Genomic DNA, 22122 nt, shown 5'->3' on the forward strand with positions numbered 1-22122 from the left:
TTATGGGCAAAAAAAAAAAGCCCTCAGAATTCAGAAAAGGCGCTGAATAAAAACCTCTCAAAAGTCTAAACCTATACACATGCCCAAAAACTGCCCTTATAATAAAGCAGATTTTTCATTCTCAGCACTGGCCAGCAATGAGCCACACAGCTGTGGAAGCCTAAGAATTTGGGCAGGAAAATAGACTGGCAAAGAAAAAGAAGAATGTAGTCAAGCCCCAAAGAAAAAAATGTTAACATCCGGAACCAATTCACCCACGCAGGCTAGGGAACTGTTACACCCAGTTCTCCATAACACCCCTCAGCACCGCCCCCAACACTCCCCTACACACATACACACACACACACGCACACACACTGGCTGAGGCTTGGTTTACTCTCTGCTCACCCCTAGAGCCATCAAATTGGCCTGTGTCTTCAGGAAGCACCTCCTACAGTACCTACCACCCAGTCAGAATATCACAGAGATGCCTTAAATCTCTGTGTTGTCACAGTCTAATCTGGGTAACGCACAGTTGTACCAGATGGGATCTAATGTTCCCAGGATTAATGTTGGTCATGCAACTAGTGCTCTGAACACTGCAGGGAAAATGAAATGACCAAGGCCTGGCTGGTTGCATACCTTGCAGAATCTACATTTCTAATGTGATAGATCTGATGGATGAGATCCAGTAAATCACCCAAGATTGCAGTGTTCATCTCATCCTCTGCCACATTCTATATTTCAAGAGTTTGGCTCTCTATGGGTTCCTTAGGAAAGGAAATGGACCCAGAGATTCATATGCTTCTATTGCTGCAAGAGCGTATCAAATCCCATCAATCAGTTGCCTGCATAGAGTGGTGCTGGCAACAGGAGAAAGCAAAGCTTTAAAACAGAGATGGATTTTACATCTTTCTCTTTTTTGCTTCTGAAAGCCATTTTTTTAATCACTGGGCACAACAGACAGGAATATGACAGACTGTACAACTAAACAGCCAAGAAACACATTAATGCTAAAATCCACGCACCAAAACAGGGGCAGGGGGCTGGATTTTCTTCAAATCCCTGTTGGAGACATCAGACTTCCTAAGAGAGGAAGGTTACTTGGAGTGGAGAAAAAGTAATGGAAAGACAGTGAACAGGTGTGCCAGAAAAGCATGAAACCTGCTGTTAAGTTCTCTGAAACTCACTGCTGGCATCTCATCCACTTACAGCATTAGAAGAGTAATGGAGCACAGGGTGTAAGTGTTCATTGAGAAGAGAGACTTCTGCAAATAACTGCTACCATACCAAACAAGGCTACTCTAAATAGAGTTGTTACAAAATAAATGAATCAGAGCAGTCACTCAGAGGTTAAAGTTAAAACCTCTACCCTAACAGCGGGTGTACTTGCCGTGGGTCCTCAAGGCAGTTTCCTAATCCTAGGGCATTAAAAAGAAGCCACTGTGGAAATCAGAATCTCTTCCTTTGTAAATTCAATCCATGGCAAAGGGATTTCAGCTGTGATTACTGAGTTTGAAAAAAGTCAACAGTACTTAGAAATGCACGAATTGCCCGTCATTGCAACTGATATGTTTCTAAGCTGTTCCATTTTGAATCAATTACCAATGAGATTCCATCCATCCCATTGTGAATGGAGAAGGGAATGGGTAAAACAGAACAGTTAAAGTTTTCCCCCGAATTTCACTGCATGAGGAGATTTAGGATGCAGAGGTTTTAGATAAAATTCAATATGTAGTCACTACACTTCAGACACTGAGATTTTTGTGCATTAAAGTCAAAGAAACGCAGGTCATGTCGGGAAGGCTGCACGTGTGCCATTCCAAAGACCATGGCTTAGAAAACAACCCTATATCACTGCCACAAAAAGACCTTTACTAGCAGGTATGGAAAAGTCACCTTAGGAGCAGAGGAACTAAGAATGACAAGCAAGGAAGGAAAAGACCTGGAAACTATAAATAACCTCTCTCTCATTCACAATTTAACAATTTCTGTTTTGGTGACAACGTGAGCAGCAAACATAAATTTCCACCTACAAAGGTTCAACATTCTCCCTAGAGCTCTTAAGCATCATCTACAGGGCAGGCAATATAATCTAGTGGTTAAGGATATTATTCTGGTGCCACGCAGGGCTGAGTTTAAATTCTGGCTGGGTCACTTAAAGTATACTGGAACTGTGCAACTGTGGGTGAGCTATTTAATCTGTTAAGCCTCAATTTCCTCATTGGTAAAATGGGGAAAGAATTACCTTCCTCAAGGCCTATTGGGTAGATGCAATGAGAGAATGTGAATAAAACCATCCACACAGTACCTGGTACAGAGTGTGCTCTCAATCCATGAAAGCTACTGCTGGTTAGAGTTGTGGACACTGAGCAAAGACAATGCTTGGAAAATTGGAGAAGTATAGTAACATCTGTCTTGGAGATAAAACATAGGGCAGAGTCTAATTTGAACACTGAGACCTGGCTTCCAGAAGGAAAGTGCAGCTCCCTTTTCCTCTGGATGGTCAGGACCTCAGCACTTCTTCTTAAGGGCCCTGGGCTTCTTGAAGGAGGCTGAGGAAAGGATCTCTTCTCTGTTCCTCTTTCCTAGGGAAGCCACCTTCTCCCTCTGTTGCCAGGAAATAATATAAACAAAGTCTAGGGTGAAACAAAAATTTTAAAAAAGTAGTAAATGATCAAATCCAGGCTTCTGTTTTACAGAAGGAAGAAAACTGGGCAAACCAGGGCTGCCAAATGTGGGTTGTCCAGCCGTAAACATGGCAAAACAGAGCTGGGGTTTCTGTTGTTCCTCTAAAAAAAAACTTCCCAGATTCCTCCTCCCCGACATTCAGCTCAGTTATAGGTTTTCTTTTAATTTAGTCTCTTTCTTCTTTTATTCTTGTTGTTGTTGTTGTTTTAATTCAGCCATGCAACACCCACTAATCCTCTACTGCAGCTTCAACTAACTGGGGCAACTGGCTGATTTTTCCCAGAATCCTGGGGGTACATTGGAATATGGCTTTACAGACAAAGAATGAATCCTTCTATTTCCTATCCGGTAAAGTCTGGTTTTTTGGGGATTTCTGAGCTCCGGGAAGAAATATCAAAAACTAACCAAAGAGAAACATGCTTGCATTATTCCACTTCCCTGCATTCAGAAAGGCCCTCCTGTCTTCTCAGAGCTGAGCTCCTGGGGAAGTTGGTAAGGCTGAGTCTCCTCAGCCCGGCTTCTGCTCACCCCCTCTTCCTACTGTATGCCAGCCAGCTACTCCCCACCCCTTCCCCAGATGCTCACTCAGGTTGGCATTTTGCCTCAGTGGAACATTCAATAGCAAGAGCTGTCAAAATTCCTTTCGTCTTTATTAGCCACAGGTACTCAAATTCTGTACTGTTTCTAACTGCGGGCTATAAACAAAGTGGGGATTCCACTTCAAGTCCCACACATTCCATTTAAAGCAAAAGAATGGGGGAGAGGGGCAATGGCTGCTATAGATTATAATTTGCAAACAATTTCTTATCCAAGCTGCTCACTAAGGTGAGTAATCGCTGTCAATTCAATTGACAGGAATAATAGGCTTTGTGCTAAATCTTTTGTTCCTGTATGTGAACTATCTCATGTAATTCTCAAGTAATCCTTTAGTGAACACATTTATTATTCCAATTTCATAGATGCAGAAACTAGGGTTGAGGGTGATTAACTAACTTGCCCAAGGTCATACAACTAGCAAGTGTTAAAACCAGGGCTCAGACACATGAAGTCTGACCCCAAGAATCTGAGCTCTTAACCACTACACTGTATAATTCATTCATTCATTGCACCAAATAGAAATGATAATAAGATAGAGTATTTTGTGAGTGTTTTGATATACATATAATTGTTATATACACATATATATGCACATATATATATATAGCACAGGGGCTGGCACAGAGTGCCTATTTAATAAATGTTGCTGTTTCTTATCGTTGTTCTTATCGTGTTATCATTATTATAGTTTTGTTATTTATTAAGTGCTTCCTATGTAACAGCCACTTGTCCTAGGTTCTGGAGATACAAAAACAATGAGGACAAGGTCATTGGCCTACAGTAGTTTATAGGGTAGTAGCGACAGAGGACAACTAGTAAATCCACAGGTTCCATGATTGCAGAAGTCTGCACAGGGGCTGTGCAGAATGTGGACATCAGATGACGGTGGGGAGCCATCACTGGAGTTTGAACCCACCTGCAGAACTCTGTAAGGAAATAAAGTCCTACAGATAGAAACACTAGAAACCCTCCTAGGTGTATGCTGGGCACAGTTTTGCATCTGACCCTGCCCTCAAGTTCAGCAGCTATGAATAGAGGCCTTGAATGCTAAGCTGTCTTCTGATCTATCTTGTTGACAAGCGTTTTGCCTGTTACTAAGTCATCCTTTTAGCATTCTCACATCTCTGCCAGATCAAGATCTCGGCTTAAGCAGACTAGACATGGAAAATAGTTACTAGTGCTTTCCATCAGACTCAAATAGTAATGAGGGGGCAACTGATTTTTATTAGCCCACCAATTCAACTCACCAGTGATGAAGTTGCTTTTTTCAACCCTCATTTTTCAAATCCAGAGTTTTTCCAGTTATTTCTGGGAATGGCACAGAAAATGTTCAAAGCATAAATAACTTACATTTCCTTTAAATTCGCTAATGCCGTAGAACCCTTTCAACAGCGTTCACGCAAGCAACAATAGGTTACATCATACACAAGGACTGGAAATCACTGATCCAGGACTGTTGAACACGTGATATTAATATAAAAACTTTTTCAAGAACTTTACCAAAGCTTTTAATTCTAGCTCTAAAAATCTCTCTCTTTTATTTTTATTTTTTGGTCTTGTGTTGCTATTGCTGTTAATTTCTACAACTGCAGTAAAATTCCTTCGTTCCAACAAAGTAAGGATGGGTCAAGTGATGACCAAAGTACTTTAGGAGAAAATGTTAATATTTCAAAAAGCAAAACCAAAGTTAGGATCACAGAATCTCGTAGCTAAAGGGGCCTCAGAAGTCATTTGAGCCTTGTCTCCCTCACTTCACAAATGAGGCACTGAGGCCTCATCAGTGGCTATAAAACAATTTTGAAACTTTTTTTCAACATTAATATGTCTGGTTTTAAAACAAATATCCCTGGTTCCAACATCAATTTCAAAGCTAGCACTAGAATCTAGGACTCCTAACTTAAGCTCCTTCAGCCCTCTTTCTACCATAAAAATATGGATATAATACAGAACATGAAGGTCTGTGTTGAAAGCTTTGCAGGAGAGTGAAGACATATATATCCACATAAGTAAGTAAAGTTTCTGATATATTTTACAATTCAGTATTCCTTTGCAAGTTTGTTTATACCTTTAATTTTTTAACTAAATCCTTCTTTCTAAATAGTACGTATAGCCCCTCCCACCCTTTGATGCCAAAAAATATCAAATTATTAATTAACCTTCTAAATTGAGAAAACATTTCTGAACCCAGGGAAGGCACTGCTGTGTTCACAATCTCTTGTTGGCTCAAATGTTTGCCCCTCCCCACTGTGAAAATCAGTTATTTATTTTTCAGGAGCAAGAGTGGAAGAACTAAACCACCCGAGGCACCTAGCCCCTAGGTTTACAATTCGGAGCCCTGTATCCTGGAGAGATTAAAGCTTTGGAGCAAGGATGCATCGGGACAGGACTTCCCTCCAAAGGGAAGCCATTCCCGCCGGGTTCTTAAAAGAACGCAGTTATTTCAGCTACTAGTAGTCACTTCTCACTCTGCTTTTACACTTGGTTGGTTTCTTTTTCTTTCTTTTTTTTTAATAAAAGAATTCGTTCATTGTTTTTTAATCCCCAAGAGCAGCGGGAAGGACAATCATTTGCTTTTCTTTGTCTCGGTGGGCAATGCCCGCTTTCTGGGCGTCAGCGTCCCTGCCTCTTAGGCACCCAGGGATCCTCCACGTCACGATCCCACAGGATGACTTTCCTTTTTAACAGACTAGCTACGATATATACTGACCCTAGATTTACCCATTTGGAAATGGTTAGGGATTAAAAGTTCTTCAAGCCAGCGGATTCTTGGTTTCTAATTGCTAATGTTTGAAGTCAGTTTGATTCCTCGGAAATTTGTTCTGCCTGATGAAAGCAAAAGCTCGAACTCCCCTCAGGGCGCGAGGTGTGAGACCCTTGGGTTCCATTTGCATTTCTGGTTTGTCGTTGGCGGGTTCCTGATTTGTTTTTGTTTTGTTTTGGTCTGTTCTGTTTTTTGGGGGGTGTCTTTCACCAGGGCCTTCCCGGTTAGCCCAGGGTCCCCACATTTCTCCAGGATGTAATTAGAGCTAAGAACAGCCGCCATCCCTCAGGGTTCCGGGTCCCGGGTTTCCAGGGTCCCGGGTTTCCAAGGCCCCGCGATAACCCCGGGCGCACGCGGCGCGATGCGGCGAGGCGAGGCGAGGCGGTGGGGCCAGCGCGGAGCCCCAGGCGCGAGAACAGGAACTCGGGCTGGCACACCGAGGCCTCGCAGCCAAGCCGCGCCTGACCCGTTCGCCGTTCCGGCCCCGCGGCGCCTCCAAGGCCGGGCCGAGGGGCCGAGGGGCCGAGGGCGGGCAGACGCGGCCACGGCCTAATTCTGACTTCTGAAGGTCACCGAAACTGCGCTGTTTTTCCAGAGATGGGTTGAAGAGAAGAGATGCAATCCCAGTTCCTTCTGCGGCGAAACGGGATCTGAAATTCTTGGAGAGGGGGAAGAATTGGACGTTTTCATCGTGCGTGGAGGAAAATTGGGGGAGGGGAAGTGAGTGGCAAGTAAGGGGGTTAACTGCTTCCCGGACCCTATCCGGAGTTTAAACTACACGCTCCCAGCTGTGGGATAGTAAAGAGAACGCAGCGGTGAGGGGATTCGGAAAATCGGTTCATCCAGTTGACAACTAAAAGCTAAAAAAACTCCAAGGCTCCGGGCTAGGTCTATAATAATGACCTCTCTAATGTTCCCTTTCCAAGGGAACTCTACTCGTCATCTGTAGTGGGTGGTTTGTGTTTTTGTTTTTTAATCCTCTAAAGTGTATGGCAACATTTTGGAAACTGTCAGCTCATTTGAGCCTTGGCAACTATATTGTAGAAAATGTAAGAAGACAAATAAGAGGACGTTTTTACATGCATTTCTTACGTTCTTAAATTAATTTCCCCAAATCACGATGTTTCTCTAGTTATTTCTATAAGCCATTTTTATTATTAAGATTTATCTTAGTTATTCCGTTTACTTTCTACATGGAAGAACATGAAACCACTTTTTAGAATAAAAAGTAGCATTCTGCCCATCCAAAATTAATACAAATTACAAAATTAAATGCCAAATTTAGTTGGAAAAGTTTCCACTCCTCCTGTTCTTTTAAATAGCATCTGTACAGTCTCAATTTCTGGTATTTTGACTGGTGCTTTTTTTTTTCCTTCTTTTTTGAGACGGAGTCTTGCTCTGTCACCCAGGTTGGAGTGCAGTGGCACTATCTCGGCTCATTGCAACCTCCGCCTCCCTGGTTCAAGCGATTCTCCTGCCTCAGCCTCCCAAGTAGCTGGGATTACAGGCCCGCACCACCACACCTGGCTAAAATTTGTATTTTTAGTAGAGATGGGGTTTCACCATCTTGGCCAGGCTGGTCTTGAACTCCTGACCTCGTGATCCCCGCCCCCCGCCTCGGCCTCCCAAAGTGCTGGGGTTACAGGCATGAGCCTGGCCTTGACTGGTACTTCTGACTTTGGTCACAGTCATCAGTTTATTTACAAGTTAAATGAAAATGCCCATTACCTGGAAGTTTCAAAACTGGGATGCTTTAGAATCGTCCCATGATACCTAGGGGTGACAAAACTTTTGGCCTCCCAAATTTTATACATTCCCAATTTGTTAAACTAGCTACACACACACACACACACACACACACACACACACACAATGGCAGTTTCTTGTCCCAAATTTTGTCTACATCCAATTCAGAACTGATATTTTGATGTAGATATAGTGTTCTGGTGATATTATGGTGTTCACACATAAGTTTGTGTATAAGCACATACATTTGTGAACATATGTTTTATACACTTATCTATAAAATAAATAAAACACTAGCTAATATTAAAAGTATAAAATGAAAAGTAGTCATTTGCAAGGCCTGTTTTCACTTCTGGTATCAAAAGCTCATCATCAGTTTTGCAGTCAGCAAGATATCCTGCCTAAAAGTGAAGCCATTAGTGGCACTGAAGAAATGTTGATTGGTCCTCACCAGTTTCTTGAATTCCCCTTTTCCCATTTCACAGCGGGTCCTCCCTACTAAATCATATTTTCCACCTCTGACACTTAGAGCAAGGGCCTCACTTAAATTAACTAATGATTATCCTTCCCCCAAAGAAGTGTAAACAGGACCCTAATTTATAAATTTGCTAATTGCTGTTCCCAGTGCAGACCCCTGAGTATGTCAGTCATGCACATATAAAATTCCAGACTTACTAGAAACCAGGAAAAGCAAAGCAAAAATAAACTACACGGATGAGAAAGAGTAAGGAAAAGAGATTCCACATTCCACCAGTTCCTTAGTTTTCCCTTTTGTGAAAAGTATCTCAAAAGGTCAAAACATAAAGCTCAGATGGGAAAATCATTTAAGTATTTTCTCCTATTGAACAACTTTATCTTTTGAGAGTAAGAAAGCAATAACCAGCTGCACTCCCAGAATAATAATCGAATGGAGTCCTGTTTCCAGAAAGGAGAAAGGTATATAGCATGCCAATCTGCCCTTTATCCCTGTGGAATTTGTACAGTTCGGCCTTGCTTTAAAAAACAAAAAACAAAGAAAAAATTATAGCCACCCTGAGAAGGAATTCACAGATTTAAGAGGTAATTGTTTTTCTCCCGGGTGTGAGAAATAAAGTTCTACCAGAGTCTATAATCAGGATCTCAAAGCGATCCTCTCATCTTATAATTTTTTTGGCAATAGAACGATTGTGATGGACCGGAAATATTTCACTCAATAATAGCATTGCATGCCCTAAGAGAGGACTGGATGAACACAATGTTTAGGCCTTCTAAGCCAAAATGTAGTTGTCCCTTTCTCCTTGTGGCCTAATATGAGGGTTAATGACGAGGAACTCGTTTCCATGTTTACACTCATGAAGCACATTATACAGATAAATGGGGAACACAAAACACAATACCCAGTATTTTTAGTTTTGGTCCCCAGTTTAGGCATTGCATGCCATTCTTCACTCCTCACATGCTGTCTATATTAAAAGATTTTAAACAAATTTTCTTTCATAATTAAAAGATTTTTAACCATTTGAAGTCATTGGTATGGGAGGTGTCAGAAAAATGGCAGACGATTTGTGTCAGCATCATTTCAGTCTGAACTCCTGTTTAAGAAATTTAATTCTCCCTTCCTCCCTGCATGAAGGTTGCCCCCATGAAATCTTCCTTCTGGGAGTTTCACCTATACAAATCAAGATACCCAAAGTGGCAAGCTCAGAGCCCAAATATAGTGCTCAGCAAGAAATAACGTTGAGTTGGGAGTAGATCTGAATTTAGAATTGCAGCGGCGGTAGACTGTGTGTGAAGTTGCCTAGGAAAGCCTTCGCTGCCCATGAGGTTTGTGCTTCCCCAGCGGGTCTCTGAGGTGCAGAGGTGGACGCCAGAGGCGGGTGAGGGGTCGCCCTGCACTTCGTGGCAGCAAAAGGAGAGACCCGCACACCCCCTTGTGATCCCTGGGTCTATCATTACTGGCTTCTGAAGCGCGGGAACCTAGGGTGGGAAGGGACCTTTGGAGATGCAAACCATAGCACATTTTACCTTCCTCCCTATCACAGTCCAAACTCTACATCTGGGTTTTCCCATTCTCTGAACTTCCCATTGCCCTAGTGCAGTTTGCTGTGGTCATTTCTTTGGGTGGGAACAGGTTACAATTACTTCCCTTTGCCTACTGGTTTCTATTGTGCCACCGCGCCGGGGCCGGAGTTTTACATAGAATGTCTTCATAACCATCCCCGCTGCCCGGGAACCCAGCCCCGCGCACCCAAAGGGCGTCTAATTTAGTAAGATCCGATCAGTGCGCAGAAAAAGGCCCTTGGCGGTCATCCCCTCAGCGAACAATAATCCTCACTGGCCCATGACAAACTCGGGCCTTAGATCCCTCTCGCTTCCCTTCACACAAGGTCACTTACCAAAAGGGTGACCTCCGTGGAAGACCGTTTTAACCTGACAAGCGAGTACCTTGCGTAAGTCCACCAGGCCTCACCCTTGACTCCTCGGAGCCAGGCACCTCCAGGCCAGCACCAGTGCAGGGGCGTGCACGGCAGAGACAAACCAAGGTTCCTTGTCCCTGGACTCAACCCCAGCAGACCCTCCGGCATCTCACTCTACGCGTTCGCCGAACACCCTGTCCCTGCGGTCTGAGCTCCGGCCTGTGCCCTGGCTGGCGCTTGCCCCGCGCAAACACAAACACATTCTCCCCCGCTGGCTTGAACTCATCACTTTTTATTCGTTACTTAAACGTCAGTAAAGAGTCACTTCCTCCGTGTTCACCCTGTTACCCTATTGGGGGTTGGAGGTTGGTAGAGAGGTGATGTCAGAATTAAAATCTCTGAGTTTTATTTTGAGCAAACAAACCATAAACTGGCAGATTAATTCATGTGACCACTTGATCTAGATAACTCCAAAGAAGAAAGTGCCCTGGGGCGGCCGCGCTTTCTGCAAGGGCTTTTCCTATCTCATTTCACTAGCAGTTGAGCTGACGGGTGCGTGCGAGAATGCGAGACCTGCCACGTGTACACGTGTACGCGGAGTGTCGATCTGCCTGCGTGTCCTTGGATGTGCCTGTCTAGGTGCCCACCCGCGCGCGCCACCACATCCCCAGGCCTCTGGAACGCAGCTGCTGTGTGGCCCGGCCCGAAGTTTCTGGAGGAGGAAATCCCTCCACAGAAGGTTTACATTATTTCGCTCCGCGGGAGACCCGGCTTCGGCAGCACTTAGCAGAAGATTTTGGCGGGAAAGGCCCAAGCCCTAGCTGAGGACTCCGGGTGGAGCAGGGGCTGAGGTCCGAGCGCAGATGGCGCCGCCGAGCGCCTGAAATATACTTGCAAGGCCGCAGCAATATACTTGCAAGGCCGCAGCCGGAGCAGCTGTTCCAGCCGATCCTAGCTCGAAAGTTCCTCTGTTGCTCTGGGAGAGGGCGGGGGAGAGCAGGCTCGAGAGCCAGGCTCCTCCGAGGCTGGTCTTGAGGCACTTCTCTAGTAGCTTCTCCAAAAGACTGAGAGTGCCGGCGTAGGTATGACAGTGAGGGTACCTCACAGACCCTTCTCCAAAGTCTGGCGGGCCTTGGGGTTTTTCGGGGCCACCAGGCTCGGTGGAATTTTTGAAACGCTTTCGAAATACATAGTTTCCTCTGTGGAGTGAGTGCCTACAACGCGCAGGCCGGACTGATCCCCCGTTGCTGCAGGTTGGTGCCCCAAGCTGCGGGTGCTCGGGCGCCAACTAAAGCCAGCTCTGTCCAGACGCGGAAAGAAAAATGGGCTGTGAAAAAGCAAAAGGCCTCGTCTTTGAATGAAAGTTAAACATTAAAATCTGACCCTAGAGTTGTCTAAAGATCGCGGAATTTTGAAGCTCCGGCAGAGCGGACTAAAAAACGGTGCTATGAGAGATGGTGAGAATACTCTAGGCATGAACGTGTGCGTGTGTGTTTGTGTGTGTGTGTGTGTTTCATTCTTCCCGCAAAACAATTTTTTGTTTTTTTCCTATTCCCGGTTTGTTATCGGCCTAGGGCGGGAGAACCACGCAGCGGCTTCTGGGCCCTAAGGACAAAAGAGTTAAAACAATGAGGCTCACCCGGGAAGAGACGCTGCCCTGGGCACAATAGGGTCGCCTGCATTACTCCTCCATACACACATCTTTAAATGTGTCCCTGTGTGTGTTCGTTAGGGTGCTGTATTACAGAAAAAGAAAGGCCTAAAAACACCCCCAGCCCTGGTCGCGCCTTTCGCTACCGCCTGAGTCTGGAGCCGACAGCTCCACCTCTTCTGCTCCCTGGACCGCCGCGTCTCCACGCCACGGCGCCCTTTTTACTAAAAGATCTTTTCTCATCCTATCAGCAAATCGTTAAGAAAGGCTTAGCCATTGCGGGGGCTCCAACTTAAGGATTCCCCCGGCCCACTAAAAGGCTAGGCCCGGCCTGTAGCCCAGCTCCGCAGAAAGCCAGAGGGTGCTGGGCTTTCAGCTTCTTCCTCCTAGACACTTGCCCCACAAATATATTTCGTTTTCTCTAATCCAAATACCCATCTTTTTCTTTTTTAAAAAATGATAACGTAATGGGAAATGACCAACCGAACTCTGTTACATAAAGTTAGTTCTGTTAGATCTTCCACCCCACCCCCATCCCGCGGGAGCGAGTAAATAGAATTCATGAGCTTAGCTCCCCAGGTTCACGCTCTGGAATGGTTTCTTTTTGCCTCATTCCCTAAGTTTTCTCTCTTCTGCCTCCTGAATGGAGCTCAGGCTAAGGAGAACGGCAGAAAGAGCAAACTCTGATCTGAATCTCTAATTATGACCCCATGTATTACCCATTTGAACATAAGGCCCTAGACGGGCTCCGTGCGATCTGGGGCCTCCCAAGAGAAAACTTCCCCGGGACAGGACGTCTGCCACGCGCAGCTAAACAACTTCTGTTTTTTCCGCCGTGGGGAAAATAAAAGAACCTTACAAATTCTAAGGCGTCATAACCCCTGCAAGAACTTCTAACTGTATGAAGGCCCACGCGAGATTTTGACAATAGATAAATGAGCTGAGGAAATAGGGTCTGGCCAGCGAAGGGAAACACACAGTAGCCCTGGGTGCCTTTCTGGAATGCCCACGCAGGGGTCCGCGTGGACAAGCACTTGCATTCAAATACAGGAAAAGGCTTGGACGGTCGAAATAAATCTCCTTTTAATTTTCTTTTCATCGACTAATAAAAATAATTCCCCAGCACTAAACTCAAATACCGTAACGGGCCACAAAAACACGGAGAATTCATAAAACTCTATCTCTGCAGGTCACCCGCTAATCGCATTATTATTAGCCTCGGGAGCATGGAAATTGAACTGTCACTGCCTAAAGAGAAAATGTAAGCGACAGCTGTCCCTCCTCTGAGTTGGACAGCTTTGTGGCTGAGATCCCCAAGCTCCTGAGCCCCAGACCGTCTCTATCCCAGTGCAGGCCGCTGCCCCCTCCCCGGGCTTGTCAGCGTGTGAAGCGGGGTCTACTCCCCAGCTCTGGCTGTTCAGCAGGAGCACCTTCCAGCATGGTTTTAGAAGTCCGGGCTGGAAAGCTTCTGAAACCGCTAAACCAAGTTGCGAGCGTTGTATGTGCGCGCGCGCACACTCAAGATTCTTCCGACAACAGCTGTTCCCCCGGGCTGTTTTTGCACAGTTGAAATCTTGGCACTTAACACAAAACGTTAAAGTTGGCTTCTCCCCTCCTAGGGTTCTGTTAAAATACAGACATGACATCCCCCCTGCTTTTTACATGTTCCGTGCACATAATATACATGGGTTACTGTAGGATCTGAGACACAAATCAATCGTACCCACACCCTAAATACACAGAGATGTGGGCCCTGAAGAGTGACCCAAGGAGTAAGGGGTCTAACATCCATTCTTGTTTCCGTAAACGCCAAAGGAGTAGAAATATAATTATGTTCCACCATCGAAAAGTTGGTGGGAGAAAGGCAAGGACGAGGTTGAAGGCTAAATGAGACAACTGGTCATTCCCCGAAGACTGAGGTATTGGATTGGAGAACGCCGCGCCAGTCCTCCCGAGTTCTCAGAAGCGAGTCCTAGATCTCGGCTCCCGCCGTTGCCTTCGGCCCGCGCCCCTCCCAATCCCAGGGACCGGCAGCCCTTCATCCACGGACACCCAGAAAGCTGCGCTCTCCACCCAAAAGAAAAAGAAATGCAAACAAACAGGACTCCTTGCTTAGGCTGGCGACGAAAATGCAAGGCTCAGTCCAGCCCCAAAAATTGGTTCCGGTGAATTTAGGGAGGCTCAGGGCATTTGCGCGAAGAAACAGAAACCTATGTTGGGGCAAGGCAGGGCGTCAATGGCAGGGCCTAGCTCCTCACCCGCGACCGGCGACTGGCCCTTCGGCGTCCCCTCTCCGCCCGCCTCCCGCGGTCGGCTGCGACGCACTCACCCGGGTGAGGCTCCAGGCCGTGTGCCGCCGCGTCCTCCGTGTCTCCGAGTGGGCCCGCGGGGCTCAGCGCCTCCATAGACAGGTCCAGCCCCTTCTCCTCCCAGTCTCGCAGTTTCCGTTTTTTATTTGAGCCGATCAAGGCTTCAACGGAGAAGGCATGTGCTCGCGAGCTCAGGGCGACTGCAGATCTTCTCCTTTCACTCATTTTAGCCGCCCACACCCCTGCCTCCGCTTGCCCCCGCTACCGAGGGAGCAGCCGGCGCCCTCAAGCTCTGAGCGCCCACCGGGCCCGGCCCGGGAGAGGCGGAGGCGCGTCGGACGAGGCTGAGACTGCGGCTCGCGGGTCTCTCCACCCTCCCCCTGCGTCCTCCTCCGCCCTCCTCTGCCGGATCCGACCTGCGCCCCTACGCTGGCCCAGCTGCTAGGAACTAGCGCCCCGAGCGCCGCCCGCTCGCTGCATGAGCGCCCGAGTCCTGCTTCCCACCCACCGGGGCAGGCGCTCACAGACTGTGTCCACTGAACTTCATCTTGTTTTTGTTATTATTATTATTCTCTCTCCTCTCTCTCTCTCTCTCTCTCTCCCCTCCCTCTCTTTTTCTCTCCTCCCCCTCTCTCTCTCTTCCTCTCTGCCTTCCCGTCCTCCCTGTGATCCAAACTTCTGGGAAACTTTTTTTTCCGCTAAATTCCTCCCTTCCCGAGGAACAGGGGGCAGGCGGTGCGCTCCTGTCCGAGGGGTGAGGGAGAGGGAGGGGGAGGAAGAAAAAGACTGAGGGGGAAAAAAGCCAGCCCCCAACCAATAGCGAGGAGGGAACAAGAGAAACTCCGAGAGCGCGAACCAATGAGAGGAAGGGAGAGACTGAGGCCCGGGCCAAAGCGCAGCGCCAGTCGTCCCCTGGATGCTCCTGGGCCGACTTTAACCCCTGGCTTCCCGGTTTCCCCATGGGTTACTCCAAGAGGGAGGTAGGACAGTTGAAAGTTGAGGTCTGATCTGCGCCTTTACAAACTCCTGCAAATCCCAAATCCATACGTTTTTCTTCCAGATCTGCTGGTCTCATAGACGCTGCAAGTCCAGAGTCACTTTAGTTGCAGATCTGGAATTTTGGGGCTCTGACAAAATGTTAACCTGTCCAAAATGCCAGAAAACGATTCTGATAATTTCGCGTCAGCCCCTAGGTGCTTTAGAATATTCTGGTTCCTCCTGGATTTCGCCACACAGGTTTTAATGTTCCTACTGAACGTTTTCTAAGCAAATCTGGGTAAGGCAAAAGGAAACAAACAAACAAGCAAACAGAAAGCCCTGTTACTAACCAGGGTCTTGTAACTGAAAATTCAAAGACCGCTTCCTCCTTCCAGCTCTACCTGGTGGAGAAGGAGACACAGGCGCCTTGAGAGCAAGGGGCGGGCGGCGGAGCGCGGGGTTTAGGGCGAGCTCCTCAGGCGTATTCCAGCTGGGCCCCCTCACGCCGCAAATACTCTCTTTCCCTACGGCCCGAACGCTGGGCTGCGCTTCGCCTGTTCCGGGCTCTTGTTGCAGAGAACCTATGGAGAGGTGACAGGCAAGAACAGCTAGGAACTTTAACAGAAGAGAAGGAGCTTTTTCAAAATTCCCTGCAAATCCCGTTACCTCAAGACCATGGCTTTCCCGGCCAGCTGATCTCCCCCCTGGCCGCCCCCTGCCTTTTGCGATCTCTAAGGACTGCATTCAACATGGATTTCTAAGGAATTAAAAAATCCAACGCTCCTGGCCATTCTTAATTCCCACACCTCTTCCCAAGTTACGCCACCGGTCGAGGACGGCAGGAGACCCCCGAGTGCAGAGAAAGCTCAAACCGGCAGCGAAGTCGGTCCTAGCCAAGCTGAAAAAACGTCTCGGATTTCGCGGACAGCGGCCTAGACACAGCCCGATCTTCCAGTCCTAGTGCCCTGGTCGAGACGGTTCTATCCTTTTGCAAAGAAGCCGGAAAGAGCTGGGTCCCGGGGGCGGGGGACAGACTGAGAGGCCAAGCAGGCCAGTCGTGACGACAGCCAGGCCCTTAGAAGTCTCCAAACCTGAAAGTTTAGGTTAGGGGGCCCACAGCCTGTTAAGATTTCTTGTTGTTGTTTTCGCGAGGCCCGGGAGAATCAGCTCTCCCACCTTGCGGCAAGAAAAGATGACTTGTCAGGCCTCTGAAACGCCGAATTCTCTGCCGGACTGCGGAGGGGCCCAGGGAAATCTAGTCTTTATTATTACAGTTGGAAGTGTTCTGGTGCTGAAGGCAACCACAGTGTTGTGAATTCACCTTGGGCCTCTTTGGACAAGAGGCTACTTTTGCCCCCTTCCTTCACCCCCGCCCCAAATTAGGATCCAACCAGGATGTCAGGAAGCTAGCATCCCAGGCGAATGCAAAAAGAACAATGGAAAAGCCACCGGATGAGTGTGATTCAGCCAAGCCTGACCTCCCCGGAGCCTGTGTCTCAGGCTTGGAGGTCCCCAGGGAGCACGAACATGAACTCTGGGGAGCTGGAAGCAGGGTACTGGTCCCCGCCTCCTGCAGCTCTGCCCAGAGGACTTGGGGAGCCCGGATGGAGAGGCGCAGGATCTCCCACTTCAGTCAGCATTTGGCGTTGCTTCCAGGAGTCGTCGCTGAAAGTCAGCGCGCATTCACTGCTACCGGGCTTCAGCAGAGAAGCTGGAGACAAGGCAGACGGGAACCCGCAATTTCCTTCCCCAGCGGCTGGGGCCTCTCTCTCACCTCCCAACTCTGGTGTCGCCCGGCGTTTTCCGCCTGCGGCTGGAGCCTGCCCCTACCAAGCTTGGTGGGGTAGCAATGGGGCCGGCCTCTAGACTTTCCCAGCTCTTTTCTCATCCCCATAGCCGGTATCTCCCATCTCTCTCTGGCAGCCTTTTGCCTTTCACAGTTTCTCACAGGCCTGGTTTGGACTGAGAAGCGGGTACACCATATGCCTCACCCTCTCTGAGACCATGGAATTTTCTCAAAAAGGAGGACTTAGCCTGGGCAACATGGAGAAACCCCATTTCTACAAAAAATACAAAAATTAGCCAGGTGTGGTGGTGTGGGCCTGTAGTCCCAGCTACTCAGGAGGCTGACAGGGGAGGATCACCTGAGCCCAGGAGGTCCAGGCTGAAGTGAGCCGAGATTGCACCACTACACTCCAGACTCGGTGACAGAGTGAGAACCTGTCTTCTCAAAAATAGAAAAAAAGGAAAAAAAAAAAAAAAAGGAGGACTTTTTGGTTATCTAGGAACATAATTGCAAGTCCAGAGGCCCGATTGTTCCTGTGTGTCCAAAGACGCAGCATCTGAGAGGCATACATAGAGGAATGAGCAATGGTTTCAACAGCATGCATCTGCATCCTCTCCGAAGCTTGCACTCCGCAGAGTCAGGAGTCAGCCAGAAGAGTTTCCACACCCCTCCTTCAGATTGCACATAGGCTGCTCCCACCCCCATTCCACAGACACACATATCCTGGAATTGTAGGTTAGGCCACTAAAACCAACCGAACCCAAATGAAAGCAGGATGGTTTTTAACAGTCTTGAAAATAAGGGGTTTCCTCTAAGTAAATGGGAGGAGCAGTGAAAACTCCCGTGACTCTATAGGAGTTAATGTAAGGTTTTTCCCAGAAGCATGCACTCCTTGGTGGGTGACTGCTGATGGGAAGGAAAATCTGGAGAAAGAGTAAGCAGGATGGCTTAATATGTGTGCTTAGGTGTACACTCGTGTGCAGTTGAGGGAGGCTTTGGGAGATTACATGTAAGAATCTGCAAGTGTGATACAAATTTTCCTTCTACTGATTACATCAACGGGCTTTAAAAGTCTCTCCTCATTACCCCAGCTTATCTCTCTTTTAACCTTTATGGGTAAGGGTGGGGTCCGCAGTTTATGAGGCTAATTCCCTAGGCACTACCTAGGTTTCCCTGCTACAGGCTTCAACTTTTCGCCCTGAGTGCATCCTACAGGCGATCCACCCTGAAATGACTCCATTTCAGGGCTGTTTTTGGCCTGAAACTGATTGACAAAGACCAAGCAAGATGTCTGCCTCCCACTTACCCCCTGCAGGTCCCCCAAAAGGAAGCGAAGGTTATTGGATACCTGGGAAGTCTGAGGAGCCCTGGGGTTTCACAGGCTACCTGCAGGGGCTTACAGAGGGGTGGAGGTCCAGGCCTAGTCTTGGAAGGGGAAAAATTAGAAAGAGAAAGGCAATACAGTAACTGTTCACCTACAACTGACCAGGTCCAGATATTTTGATTTTTCAAAGGAAGAGCAGAGTCATGCGACAACAGATCAGAGTCATAAACACAAATAGGCATTCCAAGAAACGGAGCGCCCACATCCTCCACATACCTGTCTTTTCCTCCCATTACCCCACACTGAATAGCACCTTAAATAACACCACTGCTAATGCCTCAATACCAAGGTGAACCACCAGCCGGCTTTGATTTCAGAGTTTTGAGTGAGTAATTGAAAACAAAGTTAAAAATAGTTGGCCAGCCGGACATATTAGGCTGCCCTTAAACACGTGGGTAAGGCACCCTGTGGGGGTGAGAGAATTACAATGAATTCGCCCATCAAGGTAGGTATAAAACATTATGAGGCGTCTATGGGGTGGGAAGAAACCATCTAGACTGCAAGGCGAGCTGGAGCCTAGTGACCAGGTCTGGTTCACCTCCAAACTGTGTGACCTTCGGCAAGTCGATTAATGGCCCATGCCTCAGTTTCCTTATCCTCAGAGTGAAAGGGTTCTTAAAACTTTACAACTAAGCAAAGCAGGCAAGGTCATCGACCGTGGGGCTGGACAGATCTGAGATTTTATTATTGCTGTGATCGAATCTTCTGGGAATGTGAGGTCAACGATTCCACTTTTCACATGTTTTCCCAAATTGGTGCCCCCAAAGCAAAACAAAGCAAAACAATACAAAACAAAACAAAAAACACAGGAGCATGAAATGGGACAGCATAACTGATCTGGAACCCTCGGGCGTGGTGAGATGGGGAGAGGGAGTGGATTTCTGGAAACGCCCGCCCAAGGCCAGCGCCGCGGAGGTAGCGTGGGTCCACTCTTGCGGGCCGCACCTCCAGTCGCTCCTTTAAGTCGCAGAGAGCTGCGGGACCCGCATAAGTCGTTAACTATTCAAGCACCCCCTCACACTTTTTAAAAATAAAAGTCCATGGGGGTGAAAGGTCTTTAATGATGTTTTTTTGTTTTCACGAAATAAAATCTTTTATTTTTATTTTAAACCAGCAGCGTGCCCATCCCTTGGTCCTTCCAGATGTTTGCAATAAAATCGCAGGTTTTGCCTTTGGGACTGGAAATAAAATTTAACGGCCTTCACCCTGTAATTATTCTCTTAGCTTGCCCTTCATAAATTTATCTGCGTTCTATCGGCATTGGGGCAAGAGGAGAGCGAAAAGGGGGGGGAAGCCCCGATTTTATATTTGTGACTATAAAAAAGCGCCACCCGGTTTCCTCGCCTTCGGCCGCCGCGGTGTGGCCGGCAGAGCCGGGGCCGGCGGGCCGCAAAATTGCGCGATTGTTCGCTGACTTCGGTCTGCGCAGGAGCAGGGCCCCTCCACAAAGGGAGCCTTGTGTGGCCAGGCCGGAGCGGCCGCGCCCAAGAGGTGAGGAAATCCTGTTCCCCCAGGCCCAGCTTCTCTTTCCCCACGGCGTTTCGTGCAACGCCGCAGCCCGACCTTCGACTGCAGGGTGCGCCCGCCGTTCCAGGCGCCAGCTCCGGTCCTGCCTGCCTTCGCAGGATGCAGGATGCGTAACTTCGAGCCTGAGCTGAGCCCACTGAGCATGAGGGAGGAGCCTGCCTCAGGTTACCAAGGCGGAAAGACAGGCCTTGGGTGCGAGGTGAAGGGGCTTCCTGGGAAGCCCTCCAGCCCCTCTCCTTTGCCTTGCTTCCGCAATGCTGGAAGGTAACATTCTGCACTCTCAGGAGTTCGGGATTGCTTAGCAGCACCATAAAACCCAATCCAAAGTCGGCGAGTTTTGAGGCCCCAACGTGCACCCCGAAAAAAATACGGGTACATCAGCAACTACCATATACTTTTTATAGGAAGCTAAGTACAAGCGTCATGCACGTATCATGTGTGACTACACAAAGCCATATGTTTATCCGGCAGCACACATAAGCATGCATACACTTCGTACACCCACACGCGTTGTATCCATGTACCTTTCTAGAATCAAACAAGAATGTGGAAACAACACATACGTGGGTACACAGCGTCACACACAGGCATGTGAGGAAACATCCTGGCCCCACTCAATTGCCCCCAAGGTCTGCAGAAATCAACACGCATCCTTCCTGCTGCATCTCTTGTCCCCAATCCATAACTCTCCCGGGATCTCCCTGGCTTCTTGAAGCTTAATCCATGTGGCTGTCCGGTAGCCTCCTCTCCTTTATCTGCAAGGGATTGCCTGAATGGTCAAGGTCTCTGAAGCAACAAAAGAAATGAAACATGAGGAGTATCCAGCTTCCAGCCCTCGCTACTCCGGAGAGCCACCCAGTTCTTGGCGGTGACTAGGACTTTTTTCCAAAGCCCCAAGATCCTCAGCAGGGACTGACAGACAGGACAGTGAGAAATGGTGGGGCCAAGTGGGAGCAGCAGGGCTTTGTCTTGCTTTCATGTGCACTCCCTTGGCCCTTTAGTCCGCAGGCCTCAGGCCAAAAAGCTAAATCTTGGGAGCCAGATGAGTCCTACACAGAGAATTCTTTCCTGTTCTTTCTGGTCTCAGGAACCCCAGTTTTACCAGGTTCACCCTCTAAATGTGACTCTATCTCCCGCTTCATGCTGGGTTTGCAGGTGCTTGGCTAAGTAGAGTTCTCCCTTTATTTTTTCCACTGAGAGGAAGAATTATCTAAAGCTTATGAGGGAAGAAGCACCGGGCCCTGCAGTCTATCTCTGTAGCAACCCTGGAACATAAAGGGGGTACCTGAGGTTTCTGCCGGGTGGTGGTGGGGAGGCTGAGGTTGGCAGAAAGGAGGGAGGGGAGAGGGGCCTCTAGCACTGAAATCTGTTGGGGCACAAGGACCAGCAGCTAAAGGCAGCTGAATTTAGGCATTAGGGATTTAATTTGATGATGACTTTATTTTTTCCAGAAGTGGTTGAATTTCATTTGTTGCTAATAAATGGCCACAAAATGTCCAAGGTGGAAATTCAAGAGCTTACCCAGCCCTGAGCCATCGCCCAAAAAGTCCCATATGTGGATTTTTACAGCCTCCTTACGCTCAGTCTCCCCTCTCCACCAGTGGAAATAGTTATTCAAGGAGAGTGGGGTGGCTATTCTTCATTATTCAATAGCTATTCTCCATTATTCAAGGAGAGTGGAAAACAACTCTCCACACCGGAACAACTGGGCAGCTCCCTGGTGGCGCTGGGGCATTAGATCCTCCAGGCTGCCGAGGTCAGGGTAGCTAGGGTAGCTGGGGCAGCTGGAATTGTTCTTGCCTCTGCCCACAGCCTCAGGTGAGGTTGGGGGAGCTGGCGGTGTGTGAGCTAGTCCATGGGAGGCTTTTATGTGACTTTGGCCCATAACTCATGGGCTACCTCTTCTACCTGAAACCAAATCTAAGGGGATAGGAAGGAATCCAGAACTCATGGGTGGTATGCATAGCATCCTGTGACACTGAAATTAGTCAGGGTAAGGAGATTACCAAGATCAGGTGCACAGTTGTCCCTGCACAAATGAGCCCTCCAAATGGTTGAAGTAAATCAGTAGATATAGATTGATATATGTAATTTTTAAATGTTGTTTTATAACCTGCCTGTACTTTCAGACCAGAGACACATATGTGGGTGTCTGCTGAGAGTCAAACATTGCCAGAGTCCCTTGAGCTGCTGCTGGGGAAGAGTTGGGGGCAGAACAGTCCCAACTGCTGGTCCTACTCAAACATCCACAAGAGGCATTGCACTCTGGCCCATTGCCAAGTACCCCGGAAAGCCAGCAGGGAGAAAAGTGGTCCAT

The 22122-nt window shown here is 48.0% G+C and overlaps 1 protein-coding gene across 7 annotated transcripts in view, besides 3 other annotated features; it reads right to left on the reverse strand.

Moving 5' to 3' along the window:
* TBX15 (T-box transcription factor 15) overlaps positions 1 to 16070 on the reverse strand; it is a 106464-nt gene extending 90394 nt beyond the window's left edge. For 2 of the 7 annotated variants that reach the window (XM_047429131.1, XM_047429124.1), the window contains exon 1: positions 15459 to 16070. In XM_047429131.1, the coding sequence (XP_047285087.1) occupies positions 15459 to 15852 (394 nt within the window). In that variant the 5' untranslated portion in view covers positions 15853 to 16070. Of the gene's footprint in view, positions 1 to 10149; positions 10439 to 14150; positions 14904 to 15458 lie in introns of those variants that run through there. The other 5 variants (NM_001330677.2, XM_005271161.5, XM_047429138.1 and 2 more) reach the window with 4 other exon arrangements.
* Positions 11773 to 12450: an enhancer, noted in NCBI's record as "H3K4me1 hESC enhancer chr1:119527836-119528513 (GRCh37/hg19 assembly coordinates)". NCBI's record gives its function as "activates a minimal SCP1, AML or CMV promoter by ChIP-STARR-seq in naive H9 embryonic stem cells {active_cell/tissue: H9 hESC(naive)}" and the evidence as "EXISTENCE:reporter gene assay evidence [ECO:0000049][PMID:30033119]".
* Positions 13770 to 14303: an enhancer, noted in NCBI's record as "H3K4me1 hESC enhancer chr1:119529833-119530366 (GRCh37/hg19 assembly coordinates)". NCBI's record gives its function as "activates a minimal SCP1, AML or CMV promoter by ChIP-STARR-seq in primed H9 embryonic stem cells {active_cell/tissue: H9 hESC(primed)}" and the evidence as "EXISTENCE:reporter gene assay evidence [ECO:0000049][PMID:30033119]".
* Positions 14304 to 14836: an enhancer, noted in NCBI's record as "H3K4me1 hESC enhancer chr1:119530367-119530899 (GRCh37/hg19 assembly coordinates)". NCBI's record gives its function as "activates a minimal SCP1, AML or CMV promoter by ChIP-STARR-seq in naive and primed H9 embryonic stem cells {active_cell/tissue: H9 hESC(naive and primed)}" and the evidence as "EXISTENCE:reporter gene assay evidence [ECO:0000049][PMID:30033119]".

This window comes from Homo sapiens, chromosome 1, assembly GCF_000001405.40.
Source record: "Homo sapiens chromosome 1, GRCh38.p14 Primary Assembly".
NCBI classification, from domain to species: Eukaryota; Metazoa; Chordata; class Mammalia; order Primates; family Hominidae; genus Homo; species Homo sapiens.